Source organism: Homo sapiens, chromosome 5 (assembly GCF_000001405.40).
Source record: "Homo sapiens chromosome 5, GRCh38.p14 Primary Assembly".
Lineage (NCBI taxonomy): Eukaryota > Metazoa > Chordata > Mammalia > Primates > Hominidae > Homo > Homo sapiens.
The window spans coordinates 95,749,589-95,777,081 of record NC_000005.10 but is presented as its reverse complement, the minus strand read 5'-3'; the positions used below and the strand labels follow the sequence as shown (position 1 = coordinate 95,777,081).

Sequence of the window (27,493 nt, the reverse complement as noted above, 5' to 3'; positions counted from 1 at the left end):
ACACGCCAAAACAACAAATTGGGAGTGGTAGAGAAAATATATATATTTGAGGATCACCTATTACAGGGGATGGTATCCCATTTTCTATCCTAGGCTAATTCCAGCCAGTTTTGGGGGAAGGCCTGGGACACTTTAAAGGAAAGATTGACTGCGAACGTGGGTTCAGCAGGAAAAAGTACAGCGATCCACCAGTACTAGCTGCCACTGCAGGTGAAGAGGAGTGGAGTCTGCAGGTGAAGCCTCTGCTAGTCCTTTGTATGCACTATCTCAACCCCCGTGACCACATCACAAAGTCGGAATTAGTATCCCTATTTTATAGGCAAAAAACCAAAAGAACCAGAAATGTAAAGTAACATAGCCAAACCTACATAGTAAGTATGCATCCAAGCAAAGATCTTAACCAGGCCTTTCTGACCCATGGCACTACCACCTCATCAAGGTGCCTCAGTATATCAGTTCTGGTCTAAATTGTTCCATAGATTCCATTCTCATTTAGTTTTCCTTAAACCGCTCATGAGGTTAATATTCACGCTCAAAACTGGAGTAAAGAAGCCAAAGACTTATTACATGTCACTTCAAATTTATTATTATTGCGTGAAATAATTACAAAATATAATTATAAAATAAATTACATTTTTTAAATTTATTTTTTTATTTTTTATTTTTATTTTTCTTTGAGACAGAGTCTCACTCTGTCTTCCGGCTAGAGTAAAGTGGTATGATCTTAGCTCACAGCTTCCTCTGCTTCCTGGGTTCAAGTGATTCTTGTGCCTCAGCCTTCCGAGTAGCTGGGATTATAGGCGTCTGCCACCTTGCCTGGCTGATTTTTGTATTTTTAATAGGGATGGGGTTTCACCATGTTGGCCAGGCTGGTCTGGAACTCCCGACCTCAGGTGATCCACCCAACTTGGCCTCCAAAAGTGCTGGGATTACAGCCATGAGTCACCATGCCCAGCCAAAACATTACATTTAGATAGATAATCATCTAATTTTTAAATTATTATTCCAATTACTTCCCATAAATTTGTATTGATAATATCAAAGTTACATTCCAATGTGAATTATTTCACAACTATGAATCTTTTGAAGTGTGTATTTTGCATCATAAATATTTTAAGTGTATAGAAAAAAATTGTAAGTTTATCTTAAGACTTCACTGTAACTTAAAAAAAGTTTATAATTAAGATTTGAGACTGATTACTGATCCTTACTTTGAGGGTCTGTCTTAAGTTTGACATAAATTTAAAATATAAAAATATTTTCCTTCCCAATTTTTTTTTTGGTTTGGTGTAAAACATTTAAATTACACATCAATGACAAGGTGAGAAGTACTTTCACACTTCCAATTGCTATTCCCATTTACAGCCCCCAAAATTAGACATTCATTTTTCAGAGTGACATTAAAATTTAGCTGTCTGTTAATAATTTAGCTACAATTCAAAACCATAGAGCCCAAAGGCTGTCACACTGAGAGGCATTAACATGATCTAAAAAGCAAACCTTCATGCCTGGCACAGGTTGAGTAGCCCTTATCTGAAATGCTTGGGACCAGAAATGTTTCAACATTTCCATTTTTTTTAGATTTTGGAATATTTGAGAGAAAGAGAGAGATATGTATATACATATATTATTAAGAATGTTTAATAGTATATATATGTGTATATATATATATATACACATATATATATACACACACATTCTTAATAGTTTAGGATCTCTAATCTCCTTAATAGTTTAGCAACTCTAATCCAAAAATCCAAAATCCAAAATGCTCCAATAAGCATTTTCTTTGAGCACCACATCAGCACTCAAAAAATCGTGGATTTTAGGGCATTTTGGATTTTGGGTTTTTAGATTAAGGGTACTTAACCTTTATAAGTTTTCAGATAATGACAAGAATGTAAAATAGGATACATGAGAGAATGCAATTTGACTTTAAATAGAGCCACAGTTATGATTGTGCCATTCTGAAATCAATCTAATTTTTCTAGGTGCACTAACCAGGTGTTTTAAGCACTCTCACACTCGCCTTTGAGTTAAAGTGCAAATCTCTGCTCTACCATCATGTGGCAAGTAGGGCTGTGAATACCAATACCAAAATACAACACTGTTTCAAGACTTGAGATTTACATATATAATCTCTAGCAGAGTTGCTGCCAGAGTCAATGCTATCATATATATATATATGTAATACAAATGTCTCAATACTAAAAGATTCAATGGATCAGAAGAGATTTGGATTTTGATTTTCACAGTCTGAACTTCTTGATTCTAGACTAGAACATTAAAAACATACAGTTGTATCAAATTTGCAAGAAAAATTAAGATATAAGCATACTTAATGCTGACAAGGATTTGTTTGTATGAAAACAAGCACTTTCATACACTGCCAATGGGAATGTAAATTAGTACAATGTTTCTGGACATATACAATTTCATAGCATTTATGATGTCTTACAGATGTTCCTATTCTTTGACAAGGAATCTATTCCAAGGACATAATGCTAATTTCAGAGTGAGATATTTACATTAAATCTTCAATGCAGCTGTTATTTCTAATAATGAAAATAAAGGAGATACCTAAATTTACACCTACAGTAAGAAAATAGGATATAGCCATATAATGACATTAAAAATGTTAACAAGGGGATTCTAATCCAGTGTAAAGTGCTTAAGACATAAGTTTAAAAATAAAAGACACACAATTGAGTAGACAGTATCTATTTTCCCAACCCCTTTTTCTAAGCAGAGGAAAACTGACTTGAGGGAAATTATGCCAAAATCAAACTGTGATTGTTATTAGGGCATAGGATTATGGGTGATTTTTATTTTTTATTTTTTGCATCTTTATATATTATCTGACTGTCCTACAATGAGCACTTACAACATTTTTCTAATCATCATGCCCATTTCATTTTCTAAAAAAAATGTTCATAATATGGAATATATCTTTCCTGACCTTTTTAATTCACTTATGAACAAAACAGACATTTTCTATAAGTGTGATCATTCTGTGCACACTTGGTTAAAACAATTGTATATGACTTTCATAATCAGAAAAAATTAAAGTTTCTTCATGAAATTCAACTATTTGCTATTCAAGGAGATGAAGTAGATTGGTGATTTGCTGAGTCATCTGCTTATTTCCTCACTCAGAATGCCTCTGGTTTTTCTACTTCTCCCTATACATTTTGGAAGAATTCCAAAGGTACATCAGAGAAATGGCCCTGGTAAGCTGAGCCTGCTTCCAGAGTGACCACAGTGAGGCAAATTCAAACACGCTCCATTTCATTCAGTGGGCTGGTGGTCACATATTTTAGCCATGAAAGGAACAAGAATTCACTCAACTTCTAACTCAAAATTTCTTCTTAGTTTTCTCACTGCTACCCTGCAAGTAGTGCAAGAAGAATCAAAGAGGGATGGCTATTAGTTACATAACTCTTAACACTAAAAAGAACCTCTTGTTATCTGTGTGGTTCGTCACCCTCTTCACTTCACAAATGAGACTTGAAGACAAGAAATGTCAGGTGACTTGCCCACAGACACACTGGTCAAGACGCAAAGCCAAGGCTGGAACTGGGGCCCATCCTGAGGAAATGACACTGCTGCTGCTGCCTACAGCTCCCCTCCCCAACTCTCAGGAGCTGGTGTGCCTTGCCTATAGCTGGCCTTAGAGAAGCTGCTCCCAGATCCTGCCTCCACCATTCCTGCTGTTCCTTGCTTCTGACTCCTAAGAAGACTTGGTTTTAGAGCTAGGGAAGCAATGAAGAGCACCACAGCAGTTGCTGCACATCATCAGCACAGACATCCAGCCAGCCCTTCCTGACCCCAGCCCTGCATAAAGGGTGAAAGGGGAGCAGGTGCCTACAGTAGGTAGAATCATGGAAGAAAAGCACGCCATTAGGAGGAGCAAGGATTCACCACATCACTGCTTATCTCTCTTTTTTAATATGACATATATTTTCATGTGCTACATATTCCCTTCGAAAATCTTTTCAGTGAGTTATGCTAACATAATGTTTGATACCAATGCCTCCTATGCAAATTATAAGCAAATTTGGTAGCTATTTTATAACACAGCAAAAGAGAAAAGGTGGGGATGGGAGACAACCCCTAATTCATTAATGTATGATGGGGCCAGGCATTCATATTCAATTTACTTGAAAAAGATTGCTCTCAAACTATGCTGCAAAATGAACATCGCTGGCAAAGAGATGGACCCTCTTTCATTTCACAAGTTTATTACAAGGCAAAGTCTTCTTCAAGCACATTTATGCTTCAGTGGTGGATTCCCAAGTTTAGGATGATTAATCTTACTACCAATAGCCATTTATTAAAGGCAAGTCACAGTTCTAGGGACTGTAGGAGACACAGCAATGTAACAACATAGATCCTTTATTAGTGGAAATTTTAAGTTTCCTCCTGCGACCAGGAATTATGCCTTCCTTCTCACAGTTAAACTTCTAAAGCACACACACAAAGAATGAGATTAGTCATTTAGAGAATAACCCAAAATTCCAGAGTCTTAGGGGATGACTGAGGGGTTTGGGAACATCCGAAACTCCAATCAAGAGGACCTAGGTTAAAAAAAAAGAGCAGACAAAGGTCTAAAACATACTCATGACCTAGGAAGTAAATACCTAATCGAGTATGCTGTACCTAATTTGTATCAAATACTGTGCAAATGTTAAGAGACTGGTCAGCCCTGGCCATGGAACCAGTAGCTAGAACATCCAGGAAGATCAGAGATGCTTGGTCTGGTTAATACAACACTATGTTATAGGACGGAAGACATCTACCAGAACTCACCAGGCCCTGGATCAAACACCACTAGACACTACTCTCATATGTTCACCATATAACCTTCAGATTACCAATTCTTTTTCTGGTTATGAAAAGCAGTGCCCTAGGTTGTTATAATGGTCACTGGAATGGTTTGCCCCCACCTTATCTCCATCTTGCAGAGTCTGCTCAGTGTGAGTCCAATCAACCCTAAATCACAGGTGACCCCAGTGCCAGGAAGTCATCTGGAAGACAGCATTCAGCCATCTCCAGCGGCATCATTCTCCTTCTTTCAGAATGCAGAAACTGATTCGATCTCCATAAACTAGACTTTTTTTTTAAAAGCTAATTTTAGAAAGGTGGAAATATTTTTTAATTTACCAATCATATTTCTTCTTAACAATGGATGTAGTCTTTTCTGTTGAAATGAGAAGCTTCTTAGATGATTGTACAAAATTATCTATTCCTGTGTTTCTCTGGTATGGATAGAGCGTACCAAACACTTTTAGTAAATGTCTTCATCAACAGACAGTTTTCTCCTAGAAGCTAATGAGAGAATTCTGTAATCACCAGGAGCTTTATCCCTGACTAGGCGTGTCCTACCTATAATGAGTAATTTATGAAAGTTGTCTTTAGATAGACACTTTGGATCTTTATTTAGGCAACAAATAAATCAAGGTGTGATCATATAAGGGGCTTAGAGCCAGTTATAGGTCTCTCTAAAATGACGAAAGCATGATATAAAGTCTGTGTCCTCTTGTTAGCTTTTTTCCCAGTTGTTTTTCTGTATCTCAAGGTCACTCTTGCTGCCCTACTTTCAGCGTCCCAGGCTCACACTGCACACAGGGCTGGCCGTGGCTTGTCGGAAGGTACATTGGAAAGTTTCCATTTCCCTGTCTTGGCAGATGACCAAAGTTAAAAGTAATGTGCATCTTTCTGAGGAAATATTTTTAAAAGTAAATGACTATTGTTCGCTGCTACACAATTCTACTATTAAATTAGATTATATCTTCCTTTTAGTAATTGCCCATCTAAAGTTCTACTCAGATTTTCACTGGAAAACAGCTCCTTCGATCTTTCTTGCCTAACTGAAGGTATCTGACAATTCATTCTTTTTTAACTTTAAACAAATCTGTATTACATAAAGGTTGTCACATAATTGGGTATTCCTCTACTTTGTACACAATTATTCTTACTCTCCACAGAAAAGCTGCTTCTTAACTTCTCATCTGCTGTTAGCAAGCACTAAAATCCTGACTTTAACAGCATAGTAGTAAAAATGCCTCAGTGATTTAAGCTTAAAGCAGTACATGGGTACGTGGCTCTTTCACCCAGTATCAGGAATGTAAAAATGTTTTTTTTTTTCAAAAATACAAAATAAATTATTTGTAGGCATGGACAATGACAGCAGTAAACTGCTATTTATTGTCAGCTGAAATCAGTAACTGATGGTTGTAGTGATTTTTTAAAAACATCACCCAGCATTTTCTTCAGTCATTTTCTTCAAATGACTTCTCTGTAGTTACTGGTGAGAAATACTGCCTTGAGCTTCCTATCACCGTTCATTAATAAATGTCAAGCCCTATTCTAGGAATCAGAAATGCCACCTCCCATCCCACCTACCGCACCCATTCCAGGGTCCTTCTCTTCTTTAGGAATTTCTGTGACTTCTGCTGTAATTAATGGAGAAGCCACCCAAGCAGCATCTAATAAAGCAGTTCTCACATCCTTCGTTGGGCCAATGATTCCTCTTCCACCATATTCACAAAACCCCCAACCATAGCTCATAACCAACTTCTGAGGAACGCTGCACAATTGTTGTAACTACCAAAGATCCTTCAACACCTGCATTCTTAGCAGTGGTCACTGCCAGAATGTTGAATATTCTTTTAATAATTTCTATACCAATTTTTTATTTTTATTAGTTGGAGTTAATGAGTCCAAGGCTGGAATGAACTGAAGCAAGGCACAACCCCATCCCAGAATGATGTCTTCTTCAGTAGCAGCTCTTATAGCATTAAGGGCATCTGTAACTCTGTCTTTCTTTTCATTAGTTTTGACATCACTTGTTACACCAACCTTCAGCACAGCTACTCCATTTTAAAGTTTTGCCATTCATTCACTTTTCCCTTTTCATATTCACTAGCTGTGATATCTAACTGCTCAATGATTTCTTGAATACAATTTTCAATTCAAGACTTGTCACCATTTCCTTTAAAGAGCATAGCATCACCTTTGGTCCCAATGACCTCTCCAACTTTTCCTGTGTTATGAGGCCTACCCCCTTCTCCAAACACTGCACCACCAACAGCAAGAGCCATATCTTTAAGCTGGTTCTTTCTATTGTCAACAAACCTGGAGCTTTTACTGCTATAACCTGAGGACCAGCTTTTAGCCTATTCAAAAGGAAGGTTCATAGAGCTTCTCCATCAACATCTTCAGCAATGACAACCAAAGGTGTATACTGAGCACTGGCAATTTCAAGAGTAGGTACAATAGACTGGGCACTAGACATTTCTGTTTCACTCAACAGAACATAGGCATCCTTGAATTCATGTTGTTGACCTTCTGATGTATCAATAAGTTATGCAAAAATTTAGCCTAATTATTCGATACATTAATAAGATATGCAAAAATTTTGATGTATTAATAAGGTACACAAAAATTAGATCTGGTGATTCTAACGCACCATTCAGTGTTTTTCCACCGTTTACTGTGATGACAACCCTTTTCACTGCTTCAGAAATGATGTTGCTGATTTGTCTCTATTTGCAGAAATTATAGCAAACTGAATAATTTCTTCAAGAGTTGTCATAGGTTTGGACTGCTTCTTAAGTTCAGCAATTAGAGCATCAATAGCTAACATCATACCTTTCCTGATTTTCACTGGATTAGCACCTCTGGTAATCTTCTCGAAGACTTTCTTGACCATAGGGAGTGCAAGTACAGTAGCAGTGGTGGTGCCATCCCCAGCCTCTTCATTTGTGTTACTGGCAACATCTTAGTGTTACTGGCAACAAGCTTAGCTCCAATATTTTTACATTTATCCTTGAAGCCAATTGACTTTGTAACAGTCACACCATCTTTTGTTACTCTGGGACTTCCCTAGCTTCATTCAATAATCACAGTTCTTCCCTTCGGCCCCACTGTAGCAGCTACGGCATCGGCTAAAAGGTCGACACCTTGAAGAATTAAGGCTCAGGCACCTGCACCAAATTTTACATGTTTGGCATAAGCCCAAGTGAGATGAGGATCCCAGTAACCTGGTCTCGTCTGCGGAAAGACTGGGTAATCCAAGTATTTCTATGGGGCAGCGGCAGAGCTTGTGCAGTCAGGCAGGTCAGCGGCCAGTGAGGGACAGAATGCAAGACGCACATGGCGATGAGCCACGTCCCCTCCCTCCGCCTCTCCCCCACCTGGTGGCACCTTGTGTGCTGGCAGCTCCCACCACATTCTTTAGATCTTAATCTACTAAAGTGACAAAATTATCCAAGCCAGTGATCAATAATGGGCACTCAAACAGCTCATCTTCATTAAAATTAGGTAGTCTTACTTTCTTAGAGAGATAAGCAGCAGCTCTCAGTTGCTCTGGTGATAAAATTCTCAGAGTGCTAGGAGGAATAAATGTAGCAATATCTATGGGTGCCTGAGGTGGGCCAGGCATAACCCTCAGTCCTTTTGCTCAAAAGAAACAGAAGACAGCTGAATAAAATAATGGTCAATTCCTTTTGCTCAAATAAAAAGGAAGAGAGCTGGATAAAATAAGCTAGAGATAAAATAATTTTAAGGGGGTTAGCTCCAGATGCAGCAAACACTAGGATCTTAAAGAAATACACACAAAAATATATAATAAAATATTATAGATCACCCCATCCCTTGCTAGGCCCTAAAAGTTGATGAAGCATATGGCAAAGGAAAAAATACTAAGGGAAATATAAATTTATTTTATCATTTTAATAAAATACTTCCTATTTACCTGGAAGATTTTGTTGACATTAAGGTAGTATTAATCTACATACCTCAGTAGGGAATAATCATTCCTTCACACCAAACATTCAAACCTGAAGTAGAAAGCAAGGAAAGAAAACAAGAAATAAAAATGAATCATAAACTTTGTAAAAGTTGATCCGTACCTTGAATTTCGAAGACAACATCGGCAAGCATCGGCTTATTAAGGAAAAACTTGAGGGAAGTGTTATAAAACCACAAAGGTTTTCTGGCTTGATAGGTTTTGCAATTCCTTAGGCAATTAATCTATAAGGGAAAACAAAAATACAGGGAAAGGTTGTTTAACATGCTTTGATAACATATAGGCTAGGCTAGGAATTTGGAAAATTATGCTAAATCTCAAAAGAAATATGATTCCCTACTCTATGACATCTCTGATCACAGGTTTCAAAGGAACTTACCTTTAAGAACTGTATGGGCTGCCTGTCAGTGAACAACACTGCTCTCTTTGGCATTCACAGCAGTAAACAAATTGCCTAAGTGAAAACTCAGCTCCATTGCTGAGAAGCTGCAAGGTCCTGAAACCCTATGAGTCTTTGTTGAGAAACAGACAACAGTAGTCCAACTCCATACAAATGCCTACTAAAATATGTTTACATGTACAACCTAATTTGTTCATTAAGACAGTCCTTGATTTGTAATTAAGAAAAATACATTTTTTGGCCAGGTGCAGTGGCTCATGCCTATAATCCCGCACTTTGGAGGCCAAGGTGGGCACTTGAGGTCTGGAGTTTGAGACCAGCCTGGCCAACATAGCAAAACCCTGTTTCTACTGAAAATACAAAAATTAGCTGGACATGGTGGCATGTGCCTGTAATACCAGCTACTTGGGAGGCTGAGGCAGTAGAATCACTTGAACCCAGGGGGCAGAGGCTGCAGTAAACTGAGATTATGCCACTGCACTCCAGCCTGGGCAACAGAGTGAAACCCTGTCTCCAAAAAAAAAAAAGAAAGAAAAATACAACTTTCCCTTATCACACCATATCCTTCTTCTACTTACTAGCTTAACATTTTCTCTTAAAGGAGTGAACAGTTAAAAAAATAACGTAGAGTAATGAAGTGGTTCACCTCCATCTTTTTTGAGATGGAGTCTTGCTCTGTGGCCCAGGCTAGAGTGCAATGGTGCGATATTGGCTCACTGCAACCTCCACCTCCCAGGCTCAAGTGCTTCTCGTGCCTCAGCCTCCCGAGAAGCTGGGACTACAGGCATGCACCACCACGCCCAGCTGATTTTTTGTAGAGACAGGGTTTTGCCATTTTTCCCAGGCTGGTCTCAAACTCTTAACCTCAGGCAATCCGCCTACCTTGACCTCCCAAAATGCTAGGATTACAGGTGTGAGCCACCGGGCCCAGCTGGTTCACCTCCATCTTCATCTCCAATCTTATAATCCTAATTGTCCTTCCTACTCACAGCAGAGCCCACTAGAACCTATAAAGAGTTTCCTGGGTTTTTGATCTGGCGTTCCGGAGACTCTCACCCTTGATAACTCGTCTGTCCTGTCGCGCCTGGCTGGAGCTAGTGGCTCCGGGAGCAGCCTCTCTGTCTAACTCAGACCTCAGTGCTTTATCCTTTCTGTGGTCTTCAGGTATCCCCTGTGTGCCAACCCTCCTGGAAGTCAAGGGCTGGCCTCCCTTTCCATACCCTCCACCCTTTTTTCTTTGCTTTGCTTTCTTTCTCTTTTTTTTTTTTTTTTTAAATTTTAGTCTATTTACAGTGGATAAACAAAACAAGCCTGAATATTTTCAGGTAGTGTTACCCAAATGATGATGAAATAATAAGTCATTTTAAATACTAGGATTCATTAGGACCACAATCTTGCCTAAAGTCTATGTTGTTCCCTAATTTGGAAAGACTTAGTTATGATTTTTATTGAAATATCATATTTTATTCACTTTAAATTCTGACGTCTCCACCCATTCCCCCTGCTGAATCTCAGAGCCTGAGAGCCCTGGTCAGAATGCTAATCCTCTGCTTGCCTAGCTAGGGAACTCTGAAAGCTTTATCCCTAAGAAATAAACATATAACATCAGCAGTAATAAGAATAAATGACATCTACTTCTTACTCTAATCTACTATGGTGGGAAGTTTAAAATCTTCGGTGAGGGGGGAAAAATGATATTATTCTTCCTCCTAAGGCAGAAGAAAACATTCCAGAATGGTATCCATAAGCAAAACAGAGAGGCAAAACAGGATCATACAAATCCTGGTCCTATAAAGTCATTCTGAGATCCTATACACAACATAACCGTCATACACATGGAAGGAATTCGGGCATGGGAGTCAAGTGACCGCCACGCTTAACGAGAGTAGCAGTCAAAAAGCATCACCGGGCTGGGCACGGTGGCTCATGCCTGTAATCCCAGCACTTTGGGAGGCCGAGGCGGGAGGATCACAAGGTCAGGAGATCGAGACCATCCTGGCTAACACGGTGAAACCCCGTCTCCACTCAAAATACAAAAACATTAGCTGGGTGTGGTGGCGGGCGCCTGTAGTCCCAACTACTCGGGAGGCTGAGGCAGGAGAATGGCATGAACCCGGGAGGCGGAGCTTGCAGTGAGCAGAGATCACACCACTGCATTCCAGCCTGGGCGATAGAGCGAGACTCCGTCTCAAAAAACAAAAACAAAAAGCGTCACTGAATTGGAGAGCTCGCAGAGGCTTCAGAAACCATCCAATTTACCCCTCATTTTATAGGAAGCCCTGACTTGCTCAAAGCCACAGAGATGATTTGTGGCAGATTCACAATTGTAATCTACATTTCCCAAGTCCCAATTCAGAGTTACACCCCTGTGTGGTACTCAGTAAATGAGACAGCCCCTTACCCTGGGAAAGCACAGGAAGAAGGTGTGAAATAACTCTTCTTTCTCCCCGTGCAGAGGAGGGAATTCAGCGCAATACCATGGAATCGTATCACCCAGCCTTCCCTTTCCCCAATAAGAATTCATTTTATTCTCAGTATTCAAAGGAATGTGTTCCGAATCAAGACTCAAGAAAAGGTTTAGGGTTAGAAGAAAAGGCAAGATTTCTGTACTTGTCAGCCATATAAAGGTTATGAATTTGCATATTATGAATATTTTATAGATGTATATTACACATGAATGTATGAGAGAACTGGAGAGAGAGGGAGAGAATCTATAAACAGATTCCCTCATCAATTCTGTTTTGAATTTGAAAAAAATGGGAGAGCAGAAGTTTGAGAGAACACAAATGTACGTGATGTACATTTTCACTGGTCCGTAAACAAGTTAATCAAGACAACTAGATGAACTGTTTTGAAAACGAGAATATAGGCATATGTGCAAATTTTTACAAATGATTATTTAGTTGAATTAGACTGCAAGAGCTACCATCCTGCCATATACTTGTAAAACTGGACAGCTTCTGTATACCTGCTTCAATGTGTTACTAAAAAAAAAAAAATCTTACCCCTTAATTCCACGTTACTTTGTTTACAAAAAAGACTATTTTCTCAACTAAAGAACAATCAAGAATCTTCACTAAAAGCTAGTACAGTTTCATTTTTGTAAAACATTAACTTTAAAATGTTAACAGGTTTTAGAAAACAGAAAAGTCATCTATATTAAAAAATTAAAGGAATCATCATTTTTCTTATAGTTAATATATACCTTTACTCCGCTAAGTATTGCATATAACTTACCTTACTTATCTACTGCAGCCAATTTGTTTATCACAAAATCAGACAAAAAAATACACTGGCTAAATTGTGTAATGTCTTAAAGTTTTGAAATGTTTTTTAAAGCCCTTACAGACTACACAATACCAAGTTACTAGAGTTTTAATGTGCACCAGTCTATGGCAATATACAAAGTCTGTTTTTATAAACTTGAATCTAATTTATAATTTTGAACCTATAATTGATGAGATCATCCTTAACTGTCCACCTCGTTGAATAGATTTCTCAGAACACTTGAAAAAGGGACATTCAAAACTGCCTTCCTCTCAAAAACTATTTGAGACTTAAATTGTGAGGAGTGAGAAGGCACCCTCTCTAATAACCTTAACTGTACCTGGACAAATTAAACAGCCTTTTATTCATGATATAGATTGTGTATTCCCAGAGCTCCAGGGGAATGTTTCAGAAGGCAGAATTCGCAAACGAGCATTTTAAAGACATGACTCACATGTATTTTAATTCTTACATAAATTAAAGTCTAAGATAGGGCCGAGTGTGGTGGCTCATGCCTGTAATCCCAGCACCTTGGGAGGCTACGGTGGGCAGATCGCTTGAGCCCAGGAGTTTGAGACTAGCCTGGGCAACATGGAAAAACCACGTCTCTACAAAAAATTTAAAAATTAGCCAGGTATGGTGATGCATATCTATAGTCCCAGCTCCTTGGGAGGCTGAGGTGGGAGATATCACTTGAGCCCAGGAGGTGGAGGCTGCAGTAAGCCAAGATCATGCCAACGCACTCCCACCTGGGCAACACAGGTCTCTGTCTCACACACACACACACACACACACACACAATCTAAGATACAAATAACCCATGTTTATGTTTTAAATATTTAAATGGTAAAATATACTTAAGGAAAACATTTACATTTATACAGTATTTGACTCTTCTAACGACTCAATTTTATATTCATCATAGTATGTGAGTTATAATTCAGAGGGTCAAAGTAAACTAACTTACAACAAATCAACTTACCTTTCCTGGTGTTTTTAAAATGCATTTAACTTTCTCGATTACATTTGAAACATCCCCAGAATCTTTCAACTTCTTCCTGATATCTTCTTCCAATTCTTCCCACTGAAAAGCACCTGTAAACAAATTAGTACATGCTGGATTTTTCTGTTAAATGAGGAAGTAACAAAAGTAAATCTCTTATTAAATACAACATTCCCTTTTTTTAGTGCTTTAATTTTTCTTTACCAGATATACATCCTTATAACTATACTAAAACATTTAAACAGTACTCACATTTCAAAACGATCAGTTTAACTTCCCCTAAATTATTTCTCAAAATCTGAAGTCTTCCTCCCCAGACTGCTGCTACCTCTCTGCAATAGGTGGGCAGCTAGTGATAACAGCAATGGTCAGAATATGAGTTCCCATGACAAGTGGTCCAGCACCCAAATTATTTACTTGCCCTGAGTAAAAAGGTAGATGTGGTCTTTCCCAAGGGTGAATTAAATCTTACCAGTTATGGGCAGCAGTGACTATCATCAGGTAGAGGAACATGCAGCAGCAACAGAATGCATTCAGAAGGTCTCAAGCATTGTCAGGGGCAGACTGGGATGCTTGAGAGCCAACTCTACAAAACCAGCCTGAGGAAGGGAGCTACTCGTCCACGTAGCTCATGTCATCGGAGCAAAATCACCCCACTGTCCTTTGCCTTTCCCTAGCCCACTTCAAAACTCTCTTCCTAGGCTCATTTCACTTCTCCCACTCTGTCAGCCTCTTTTCCTCTATGTCTTGCAAAATTCTTATTCTATGGTCAGCAAAAGCTGACCTTTTCCCCAAGGACTTCTCTTACTTGGTCTGCAGCAACTTCCTATCCAACCTCCCTGCTTCCTAACAGCCTTTTCCCCATCAAATCCATCCTATTACTCAAAGCTGGTGAGTTTTCAAAAGCACGAATCTGATCATGACATTCCAAGAGATTACACGCATCCATCCTATGATTTATAGAAGGTCCTATCTCATAAAAATATAATTCAAGAAGCCTAGTGTGGGCGGTATAGTTAGGAGACCTAGGATCCAGTTCTACCTCAGCTATTAACTACTAGTGTGATGAGTCACTTCACCTCTCTGGGTAATTCAAGACCCTTTTTTATCTGCTCTCAGTTCATTTCTTCTGATGTTTTCATTCCTGTATTCAGCACTCACCAGATGCCTTCATGGATATTGGGGAATGAGGCAGGCACATAAACACTTATTAAACCAATGAGATCAGGCAATTGCAGCCAGTCTGTACCAACTAAAACCAAATCCAATTGGAAGGGGCAGATTGCAAGTCCAGAAGCTCTCAGGCTCTTACAGCTGAGCCCTGCAGCACTAAGCACTAATGCATATCCTTTCAACTTCTCCCCACCTGGCCTTCCTAATACTTACAGTGTCTCCTGGGGGAGGGAGTCAAATGATATGTAGCATTTGCCATTTTTTGATGCTATCAACATGACATCACAGAACAAGGAAATGGGGATGATAAACACAACTGGGCTCTCACAAGCTGGTGCCAGCTCCAGCACACCACTGCTTCTTTCTGCCTTTGCTAGCTCTTTTTATGCTTTCACTGATTGCTCCCCTTCCTCCTCAAATTCTCAAAGCTGTGTAGTGTAGAAGAGCTCTATGATTTCTGTTTTTCTCTTTCTGCATGAATGCTTTTTAACTGTGTGGCCACATCCTCTTTTCCCATCTCATAAATTCTTGGGATTGTATGACCAGAAAATTTCATGTGCACACAAACATTAAAGTCAGTATAACAATGTGAGAGTGTAAGAACCCCTTAGAAGCCAATGGATCCCAGATCAATAAAATTACTCTATGCCAGTGATTATCAACCATACCTGTGTATTATAAATACCTGAGATCTTTTATAAAATACCATGAGAGGAGGTCTCATCTCCAGATCAAGTGAATTAGAATTTCTGGGCCTGAAGCCCCTGGCATCAGTGTTTTAAAATTCTCCCTGGTGACCCTAATGTGCATGGTATGCTGCTGACGGCCACTGCTTTCCCTTTAGAAATTTCAACCACTGAGTTCGAGACCAGCCTGGCCAACATGGGGAAACCCTATCTCTACTAAAAATACAAAAATTAGCTGGGCATGGTGGCGTCTGCCTGTAATCCCAGCTACCTGGGAGGCTGAGGCAGGAGAATCGCTTGAACCCAGGAGGCGGAGATTTCAGTGAGCCATGATCATGCCACTGCACTCCAGCCTGAGTGACAGAGTGAGACCCTGTCTCAAAAAAAAAAAAAAAAAAAAAGAGGAAAAAGGAAAGAAATTTCAGCCATTATCCAAACCCAGTGTTAGTGGTATGCAGGAAAGGGAACATGTAAGTATTTTTTATGTCTGCACTCATCCAATCTAAAGAAGAACATAAGTACTGTCTCTGTGTTCTTTTACATACTTATATATGTAAAAGTTACATTGTTATTTAAGTAAAAGCATATTAACTAAAAAACACCTATAAAATATCTCCATTCAGAAGATTATCTAAAAGCAAGCAAGCATCAAATAATCTAAATAGATGGAATCAGTAGCAGGTAAATCCCCACAGGCCACTGAACTGTCTGAGAACACACACAGGAAGAATCACTCACTGAAAATGAAAGTAAGACTAATTCTCAAGAGCACACTGCTGATTGGGCTGTTTTCATAATTAGAAACATTAATCAAGTCATCTTTGAGACTTTTAGGTCCTAATAAACCAGTAATCCTAAGGCTGGGACTTTCCTTTTATTTTTCCAGTGGTAAAAACATTTAACATCAGATTTACCCTCTTAGAAAACTTTAAGTATATAATGCGATATCATTAACAATAGGCACAATGTCATACAGCAGGTCTCCAGAACTTACTCATCTTGCATAACTTTACTGATTGATCAACTGCAGACAAGGGCAGGATGACATCTTGCATCACTGACTGGGATTTTCTTTAGTTAACTTCTTAAAGCACTGAATCCACTTAGACTTTTAGAGCGCATGGTATACTCATGTATACTAGGCTGTGTTTTTATGCAATACAGAAAAGGACATGCCACGGAATGATTCTAAGAACTGGAGAATGTAAACTGAAGATGAAAGCTTGCTTCCACATATTTGTCTACTCAGATGGCATTTCAATAAGTGATGTGAAACTCTAAGGGCCATCTGTGGCAGGAAGAGCTCAAAGCTAAATTCTTGAGGTTCTTACAAATACTTCACTTCCTAACCATCTGAGATCATATGACTCAAGAATGTGCAACCATAACACTGTATCAAGTATTATAAGAATGTTACAATTGTATGCCATGTAAGAATTACTCCCTGAAGACCAGGAAAGGGCTGGCTTCACTTATCACATTACTCCTCGTTCCTTAGGATTAGTAGTTAAGTACTTATACATTATGCAGTGTTTGTTGTTATTCAATAGAAAACTAACGTATACAAAACAGATATACCTTGACTGTGTCTACTGAATCAAAAATTTGAATAGGAATAGATAGGTGTAAAATGTTAACCGGACTGTTGTTAAACAGGTCGCTCCTAAATAACGAACCAAATGTTCATGGTGACATAACACACACCAAATTTCAAATTCCTAAAGGTTAAAAAAAGCATGTTATTTAAAAAGAATTAAGATATTCTTTGTAATCTGGTTCTTTAAAAAAAAAAAAAACAAGGACAGGAGATAGGCTTATTATAACTCTCTAGCCCGTGTTTGCTCAAGGCAAATATTCCTGAGCACATGATGGAGTTCAACCTCTGCTTTACCAACCCATCTGATGGGAACACAAACAAACAACTCCTGTCTTCAATGGTTCTCTAGCATAACCCAAGGGCAGACCACAGCACTTCTGTGGGAAAACCACTGCATAACTGTGCCTTAACACTTGTATTCTATTCACAGGTTTAAAAATGTTAAAACAAAAACAAAACAAAACAAGCCTGGCCCATTTACTGAAGTCTCTGAGAAAAACGTAGGTTTAAAATTTTTGTTTGATTTGATTACAAAATACATTTTTTCAAAAACAGTGTCACTTATTCATACACAAACAAATGACTAGAGGATCAAACAAAGCAATAAATGTTTAAACATTTTCTGTTGATAGTGGAATCTGGGTAAATTTTTTTCTCTTAATTTTCAGCATTTTTCAAAATTGTCTTTTCTGTGCAAATACAGCTTTGATATCTCTTTTTAACATAATGTAAATGAAACTTTTCCTTGAGCCAGAGGTTGTAATCTGTAAATAATTAAAGAATAATAAATAGATACCTGCAGAACCAGTTATTTTCCCTTTTCCTTAACCAGCATCTGGATCTCTGCAGCCCCGGGTCAATGGCCCGTGCCCCTGCTCAGACCAGACAGCACCTCCGGCTTTGGCCGTGACGTACAAGGAGAGATCACAGCCGAAATGGGACGGGTCAGTGTCAGGTTAAGAAGCCAGGACTCTGAACTGGTTGAAGACCTGTAGCTCAGCAGGCTCTCCACACCATCATGCCTGCCTGCCCTCCGATCCCTATTCCAGGCTTACTTAATTTCCACCCAACCACTAGGCATCCATTTTTCCTCGCGTCAGGGACACACAGGGCACTGAGAGCCCCAGTTCTGAATAGCACTGCATCAGTCAGCCTTACAGCTCACCCCATTTTTACTTTGAATCCTAAGCTGTTAACTTGGTAGCCTTCCTGGGCCTCTGCACTGAATTCTAGGCCCTAGTTTGCTGGTTTTGGCTGGTTCCCAGTTCTTCCAAAAGCAGGTATTCCAGCTGCTTCTGGCAGTCCAGAGATCCAGCACCACCTCGGAGACTACTGGAAATGCAGAATCTCATGCCCCACTCCAGGTAACTGAATCAGAATCTCCACAGGAACAAGATCCTCAGATGATCTGCACACACTTTAAGGTTTGAAAAGCACTGGTCTAGACGATGAAGGGCCAATGGCAGGGCCACCCACTGTCTGAATGTTGGCCTTCCTGAGGCTGATCGCCAGAGTAATGGGACCTCCTGATTGAATGCCTGTCTTGGCCGCACTGTTCCACCCTGCAACCACAACCAGAGATGAGCTTTCTAAAGCCCAGTCTGATCATGCTTAAAACTCTAGCACAAGTCTAAGAGCAGCAGGAACAGCTTCCACAGGCCTTGCCCACCTCATCACCCACCAGCCATCACCTTTCACTCTACGCTCCAGCCATGGGAAACGGCCTGTGATCCCTGGAAAGCAGCAGATACCTAGGATTACACTTTTATTAATCAAATGTCCCCAGAATATTAATCTCTTTCAAACAGTATCAGAATGAGTGCATAAAAAAATTACAACAGGTAAATGACTCCGGGGAAAGGGTCTAGGGTAGAAGGATAACTTTTTTCTTTTCTTTCTCTTTTTTTCCATCTGCCTGTATTAATTTTGCAATTAAATAAAGCACTCCCCCTAGGAGAAAGCTAGGCAGGATCAGCCACTGGAGATACATCTAGCTATTTTACTGCTACTATGTTAAAAAGGATATAAGACGTCAGAGTGCTCATATGCCTTTGAAAGTAGTCAATAATAATTGTGGAAGCCTACTGAATAATTCATGTAATTTCAACAGAAAATTATCATACAAAAGTCACATCCCTCACAGTTCCTTAAACATATGATTAAAAACATCTTTTTTCTCTTAACATGTAAACATGTTAGTTTTTCAAAATCTTAAATTCTGAACTGTGACATTCTAAGTTTAAACGTCAAAATCTATAGTACTAAATGAAGTCTTTAAATAGTTTGGCTTACTGATATGATGATGCCCGGCTACTGGAGCCTACTCTTTAATTCAACTAAAACTTACAGAGAACCCGTTGAAGGCAATGTGCTGGGTGTGTGCTGTACAGGTGCTTAATTTATGCTTTTTCCAAGCCAATATTTCACTAACCTAGCACCACATTCTACTCCAATATGTATTTTTTATCCACATAAATCTGCGTGCTGCAACTGTACTTTTCAAAATCATAATTTAAGTTTTAACTTATAAAATTACATGACCACAAACCACATGAACAAAGTAATACCTTATTTTTAACATCAATTACTTAAATAAAGGCTGCCCCAAATTTCCCTACCTGTATGAAATGATACTTGCCTTGCAAACCTTAAACTTTTTGTCTGTTCCCAATTAGGCTTTACTTGAACCCTAAAAACAAATTAATTATAAATGTTTCTCCAGACACACTGCAGAGCAGGAGTGACCTTAGCCTAACAGGTTATCGCTACATGATTTGAAGTGGGTAAAGAAAATTAAAGACAGGAGTTCTGAGAAAACTTATATTTAGATGCTTACATTAAAATTCATTTTACATCTGTTCTTTTCCACTCTTACATGGGACACTTAGATGTAAGACCTTCAATTCATTTGCTAAAATGACTCAGATAGAACTTCCATCTTTAAAATATAGTTGCTACTGAGTTTTTAAAAGGGCAAAGAGAAAAATACTTGATAAGCTAAATCTTAAAAAGAAAGGGCACAGTAAGGAAAAAAAAAAGTAACGTCTATGATAGTCATAGCCAAAGTTAATTAGACCTCAACTAACACTGGATATTGATTTCCAGTCCGTAAGCTGAATGCAATTCTCTCTTTCACGCCCTACAAAACCTAAGAGTCAAACCGAAGAGTGAATAGCTAGGTTTTAAGGTGTAGACACTTGATTTCATTTACTCTTGGAATATTTTATGTCTTTAAAACTAAATTGGACAATAAATTCTCACATTTCATATTTTGGATGTTTTTTAAAGAAATAAAATATTAACATACTTGTTTGGCAGATTATGGTTTTTACAAGTAGATTTAAAACCAAGGCAAATACAAAAACATATGAAAAGATGCTTGATATCACTAATCATTAGGGAAATGCAAATCAATACCAGAATTAGATACCACATCAAACCCATTAAGATGGCTACTATTAAAAAAAATAAACAGCAAGTGTTGGCAAGGATGTGGAGAAATTGGAACCCTTGTGCACAGTTTGTAGGCACATAAAGTGGTATAGCTAGTGTGGAAAACAGTATGGCAGTAAAAAATCAAAAACAGAATTACCATGTGATCCAGCAATTCCACTTCTGTGTATATATGCAAAAAATAAAATAAAAGCAGAGTCTCAAAAGAGATATTTGTACACTATGTTCACAGCAGCATTACTCACAATAGCTAAAACAGTGGAAGCAACCCAAGCGTCCATGGATGAATGAATGGGTAAACAAAATGTGGTCTATATGTACTACAGAATATTATCAACCTTAAAAGGAAGAAAATCCTGATACATGCCACAACTTGGATGAACCTTTAAGACATTATGCTAAGTAAAATACATCAATCACAAAATGACAAATACTGTATGATTCCACTTACATGAGGCACTTAGGAGAGTTAAAATCACAGAGACAGAAAGTAGAATGGTGGCTGTCAGGGGCTGGAAAGAGGTCGGAATGGGGAATCATCGTTTAATGGGTATAGAGTTTCAGTTTTATAAGATGCAAAGAATTATGGACACGGATGGTGGTGATAGTTACACAACATTATGAATGTGTTTAATTCCACTGAACTGTGTTCTTAAAAATGGTTAAGATGGTAAAATTTATGTTCTATGTATTTTACCACAATAAAATGAAATTGATAGGGAAAAGATGAGGCAAGTACATTTGTAAGGAAAACAGAAAGCTTGGACCAATTCTTATATATAAAGCAAATAATATTTCATGTATAATCTTAATCTCAGATGGTAGGTAAAGACCACTGTAAAACTAACCAGTACCCTTGAGTGTCACAGGCACATTTCATTTCCAAAGCTTATGAGATTGTAAGTAACCAGAACCACTTGACAAGATACCTGAATAAATGAAGCGAAGGATGTCTGATAAACAAGAACAGAAGAGGGCGTCTTTAACAATGACTCGTAATGGTGGGTTGCCTGAAGATTCATGGCTAGCACCTGGAAATGCAGTATCTCTGTTTATAGCAAAAAGATCCTGGGTAGTTCGGATGATACTGGAATCCTGAATGTCAGTGGGACTCTTCACATTGAAAAGCAGCATGAAAACATGGCTTACAGCGCAGAGAACGATCTTGTGGGCCTCTACAACTTTCTTTAAATTGGGGTTGTAAAATACCACGTCCACACACTGGCAGCAGAACAGCAAGTTATTTAAGTCAGAGTTATAATGTGACGCTTCAGCCTTTAAGACAGGCATTTTTTCTGTTTTGAAAAAGAAAATAAAAATAATAAACTCCTTTCAGGTTTACAGACCCAACAATTTCATGTTTACTTTAAATATAATTGTATAATATTTTAAAATATTATTAGGTTAAAGCATAAGAAACAGCCAATATTTAACCATTTTTTGATGCACAAAAACAGCGATTTTCTACTACTGCTTAACCTAATTTATAAACATATATAAACTAATTATTCAGGAACTGTAGAATGTTATAACACAGACACACAAATACTATGTTTATTTACATTTTATAGAGCAAATGAAAAACCCACTAATGACGTACGGAACAATAAAATAACATTTCTTCTTACTTGTGTGTCCCAAAATAAAACAAGCCGCCAAATACTGAACTTTAGTATTTCACAGTCATCCTTCTTTACTTTTACCTTTGATTTTAAAAATTCAAAGTACTGAATAAGTTCCAAAGAACCCAATCTCACATCTGAAGTCCTTTTCCTCCTGGGACCAGAAGTAGAGGTAGAGGGCTGAGCTGTTAAAATTGTGCAACTTCTCAGAGTCAAGGCTCAGAGTCTTGAACTCGATCGTTTGAAAACATTGTGACCCCTTTATTTGGATTCCAAAACTAGCATTTTTTCCTTCTAGTAAAACACTTCAGCAAAAGTGCTAACTCAGCTCCCTAATTTCTAAAAGAGAATATAACCTTCAGTTTACTAGTTTGATCACCAACAAAGAGAGATGAGCCCTCAATCAACTCAGAATACCTACACTCCAGGCCCTCACCACAGACCCTAACTGTAAAACATCTGCCATCTCATTTTTATCCAGAGGAGCTGAGGAAAGTGACATTTGTGAAGGGTTGTTTGAAGGGTATGCAACCGTCTAAATCAGTAGAATTCAAACTTCTTTAGCAATAAAAATGCTTGATTCCAAAGCAAACCCCAGCCTATAAAACAGATAATAACGAAGTCCTTTGGAGGCCAGGCTCTCCCTGCACTGTATTCCAGTCCACCCTCCTCCCTTCTACTGCCTGTGGCCCCTTTACAGAACCCTAAATGCCATGTGCCCCAGAGCCCAGGATCCGTCCTTGGAACAAATCAGCCCCAAATATGTACCCAGACTGTATTATTCTGAACCTCTGGAATATCTTTAGTGTTATACACACAGCTCTCTTAACAGAAGAGTACAAGAAACAGCCTTGTGAACGCTGAGGCTGCATTTCCTGAAGAGACACTTTTGAAAGCCCTGTCCACTATATCACTTAGTGCCCTCACATGAAGACCCACACAAGAGATTTTTCTTTTCTTTTCTTTTCTTTTTTTTTGAGACAGAGTCTCACTGGAGTGCAGTGGTATGATCTTGGCTCACTGCAACCTCTGCCACCCTGGTTCATGCAGCTCTGCCTCAGCCTTCCGAGTAGCTGGGACTACAGGCGTCGCCATCATGCCCGGCTAATTTTTGTATTTTTAGTAGAAACGGGGTTTCACCATGTTGGCCAGACTGGTCTCGAACTCCTGACCCCTGGTGATCTGCCCACCTTGGCCTCCCAAAGTGCTGGAATTATAGGCATGAGCCACCATACCTGGGCCAAGATATTTCTTTTAAAGCTAAATGACATGTAATGTTTTGCTTTCTCTGAGGATCTGGTATATTTTGTCTTCTTGATTAATAAGAACTAAGAACTAACTATCTACATTATTTATGTGGTCATTTCCCACCCATTTTCTAATCCAGAAAGGATTTAAGGCCCAAGGGTTTGCAACCTAATAGACCATGTCTCCCCTTTCACTTTGCACACCAGGAAATTAAAAGCCAAGTGTGTATCATTTATATATATATGTGGTCTATATATCTGCACTTTTTTAAAGAGATGAGGTCCCTTAAATTCCAAAGGACATTGATCCAACAAAGTGCTATCCTACTATTTCTATTACAAAATCATGCAGAAAATTCTGATAACAGTTGATATAATTTATTTATTTTAAAGTTTATTTGCCCTGAACTTTGTATTAAAAATATTTTCAAACAGTCAAAAAAGTTGAAAGAATGATGCAATGAACACACATATACCCTTCACATATATCCCTCACGTGGATTTTGCAATTATTAACATTTTTTATTTTCCCCTTATCTCTAGAGAGACAGAAAGACACACACACACACACACACACACACACACACATCCACACATCAACACACACACATACACACAGCTGAAATATTTAAAAGTTGCAGATATCAGGATCCTTTGGCTCTAAAACACTTTCTTTTTTTTTTTTGAGACAGAGTCTTGCTCTGTCGCCCAGGCCAGAGTGCAGTGCAGTGGCACAATCTCTGCTCACTGCAAGCTCCGCCTCCTGGGTTCACGTCATTCTCCTGCCTCAGCCTCCCGAGTAGCTGGGACTACAGGCGCCTGCCACCTCACCCGGCTAATTTTTTTGTATTTTTAGTGGAGACGGGGTTTCACCGTGTTAGCCAGGATGGTCTCGATCTCCTGACCTTGTGATCCTCCCACCTCGGCCTCCCAAAGTGCTGGGATTACAGGTGTGAGCCACCGCGCCCGGGACTCTACGTTCACCTTCATCTCCTGGGAACAGGAACATTCTCCTATTCATCACAATACCATTATGATGCATAAGAAAATTAACAGTAATTACATGATATAATCTAATTTCCAGTCCGTATTAAAATTTAACCCATGTCCCAAGAACATCTTTTAGATGTTTTTATTGAACCAGTATCCAATCAAGGTTCATGCATTGCATTTAGTAGTAACTTAGCATTAGACTTTAATCTAGAACAGCTCCCCACCTAGGACACATAGGATCTATAGGCTCAATTTTTAAAGCAGTATTTCTCAAAATGTGATTCAAGTACCAATCTGCTTTTGCATCACTTGGGAGGCTGATTAACACAGATTCTAGGCCTTATCCCAGGTTGACTGAATCAGAATGTCAGGTAAGCTCTGAGCATGCTCAAGTTTGAGAATAATTGCTCTAAGACCTGTGAGAAAGGATCTGTAATGAATGTTTAATGAATGTCTAGACATTGGCTAAGAAATGCACCTGGTTGTTCAAGTTGAGGTGGTCTAATTCCATGAAAGGAGTTGCTCATTTTTCTTTTCTTCATTTTTTCACTTGTCTTCTGATTTAAGGCTTGAATCATAAAATACTCCAACTAAAACAGGAATCAAATTTTAATTGAAGATCCAACAAAACTATATATCCAACATGAAAATTTGCATCTGAAGTCACAATTGTCAAACATTTTAAACGTCAGTACCATTTATACGTATGCATTAGCAAACACATATAAACAATGTTTTTATTTAAAAAATGAATCGAGTGGAGCAGATTGTGCCTTCTCTGAACATAAATAAACTATCCACTCAAGAAGGAATTGTTATTAATCATTCTGCCACAAAGAAACATGCACTATTCACAACAGCAATGACATAGAGTCAACTTAAATGTCCATCACCGATAGACTGGATAAAGAAAACGTGGCGCATATACACGATGGAATACTATGCAGACATAAAAAGAATGAAACTATGTCCTTTGCGGCAAAATGGATGGAGCTAGAGGCCATTATCCTAAACGAACTAACAGGAACAAGAAACCAAATACCACATGTTCTCACTTATAAGTGGGAGCTAAACATTGAGTACATATGGACACAAAGAAGTGACCGGCAGACACCAGAGCCTACTTGAGAGGGTGGTGGGAGGGAGGAGGGTGAGGATCAGAAAACTATCTACCATGTACTATGTTTATTACCTGGTTAGTGAAATAATCTGAACACTAAACCCCTGTGACATGCAATTTACCCGTATAACAAATATGTACCCCTGAACCTAAAATAAAAGTTTTTTTTTCAAGGAAGGAATTGTTGGTTCTCTTTTTCAAATTTAACAAATATATATATATATTCTTTTTTTTTTTTTTAATTTTAGAAATGGAGTATCACTATGTTGCTCAAGCTAGACTCAAACTCCTGGACTCAAGGGATCCTCCCGCCTCAGCCTTCCAAGTCACTGGGATTATAAGTGCATGCCATCCCACGCAGCTACTCTCTTGAATACTCGAGAAAGCCAAGCACTACAATTGTGTGGCTGGTAATAATTTTCTCAGTGGGCAACCACCACAGTTAATATTAGTGAAATTAAAGCAGGAACAGAGCTGCCTCTATGTCTACAGATGTTCCCATGAGCCAGGAAACTTCGCTTTCTTCTCTTGAACAAATTTCTTTAAAATCTGTCCTTTACAAACTAAAAATCTCTCTCAGGTGCATTTACGTAGCTTCAGGCCTGTGCCCTAGCTTGCAAGGCCTGGGGCAAAAGTCCAAATGGAGGCCCACCCACCACACACCTAAATATTTAAACGCTGTAAATCAAGAAAACAAACTGTTATATAAAAGATATTCTATACTTCTGTTTTGACAAATACATCATCATAAAAGCCTGGCAGGCAAGATTTATATTTAAATTCTCAGATTCTTCAGAGGTTCATACAGCAAAGGGAGAGCTGATCCCTAATTCCTGAGCCCTAAGACCACCCATTCTCTTCTCACCTCCTGCTCTAACACAGAGCTTTAAAGAGCTCTGTGCACACAAGTGGACATCAAAGCTCTGTCCACTGTCCCCTCCCCCATTCCCCATAAAGACTCACCCTTTGGCCACCCCGCAGGCCTAGGGGTGCATATACCAGCAATGTGGTCCACCATCAGGAGGACTGTCCCAGGAAAATGGCCTGCACAGGCCGAAACAGACCCAGGACCAGTGGCCGGAGAATTCTGGGGTACTGGATTTGGGAGCATAGTCCTAGCACTATTCCATAGACCTTTCTGTGTTGATGGAAATGTTCTGTAATATATGCATTATATAATACAGTAGCCACTAGCCACATGTAGCCATAGAGCACCTAAAATATGGTTCATATGCTTGAAGAACTGAATTTTACTTGGTTTTATTTCAATTCATTTAAATATAAATAGCCACATGTAGCTAGTGGTTGCCATACTGGACAGCGCAGGTCTAGAAAGGAATGAAGTCCACCAGCTCCAGGTGGGCACAACCCTTGGCTCCACTGACTTGTGCCCTGTGGGGAGGGGTGCAACTGGAGGACGGACAGATGGAGCTCTCTAAAGCTGGAAGGCAGGCGGCTTTCTCTCTGGCCTAGGTCTAAGGGTAGTATTGCACAGCTCTTCAACTCTGACCCTTAAATGCAGATTTTCAATGCTCCTTTCATTCTAACATTATCATCTCCATCCATATGTTTGCCAATGCCATTCTATTTTACACTCAAGATCCCAGTTGTACTTTACTAGAAAGTAAAACATCTAAAATGATACCATTCTGATCTTGTTTCCATATTCTCAACAGGGCTTGAGTTAAGGTAAAAAGAAACTGCCACGTCTTTCTCCCAACCTTGGCCACATCAATCCTCATCATGCCTCTAACCCTAATTGCAACATTAGATATTAGGAAGAAAGAGAAAAAAGGAGCCAGAAGAAGAGAAAGAGAGGAGAGAAAGTGCGAGTGGGAAAGTGGGAAGAATGATCCTGGGAATTTCAGGTTCAGGATCCTAGAACAGGGAGCAAGGAGACCTGTGGCTTCCAAGGGAACGGCCTCCCCTCAACAAATGAAACCAAATCTAGTGCATAAAACTATCTGACAAATGAACCTTCACAATAAGCAAAACCAAACCATCTTTTTGCTCTCCAGCTTCCCAGGTATTTTAGGAAATGCACCATTCTTCGCCAAATTAAGATTTTTTTAAAAGCCACTAGTATATAATCTGCTTGAAAGGAAGATTAAATTTCTCTT

At 38.9% G+C, this 27,493-nt stretch overlaps 1 protein-coding gene and 1 pseudogene across 3 annotated transcripts in view, besides 1 other annotated feature; both read right to left on the bottom strand.

The window, feature by feature from the left end:
* The window catches only part of RHOBTB3 (Rho related BTB domain containing 3), a 78,738-nt gene that overhangs the window by 19,280 nt on the left and 31,965 nt on the right, over window positions 1-27,493 (bottom strand). For 2 of the 3 annotated variants that reach the window (XM_017009237.2, NM_014899.4), the window contains exons 5-8: window positions 24,732-24,843; window positions 21,321-21,686; window positions 13,462-13,574; window positions 8,916-9,036 (exon numbers count right to left, since the gene is read on the bottom strand). In XM_017009237.2, the coding sequence (XP_016864726.1) occupies window positions 8,916-9,036; window positions 13,462-13,574; window positions 21,321-21,686; window positions 24,732-24,831 (700 nt within the window). In that variant the 5' untranslated portion in view covers window positions 24,832-24,843. The remainder of the gene's footprint in view (window positions 1-8,915; window positions 9,037-13,461; window positions 13,575-21,320; window positions 21,687-24,731; window positions 24,844-27,493) is intronic. The other variant, XM_011543279.3, reaches the window with a different exon arrangement.
* Window positions 5,899-7,385, bottom strand: HSPD1P11 (heat shock protein family D (Hsp60) member 1 pseudogene 11; annotated as a pseudogene).
* Window positions 16,479-16,528: an enhancer, noted in NCBI's record as "active region_22801". NCBI's record gives its function as "activates an Ori minimal core promoter by ATAC-STARR-seq in GM12878 lymphoblastoid cells {active_cell/tissue: GM12878}" and the evidence as "EXISTENCE:reporter gene assay evidence [ECO:0000049][PMID:35858748]".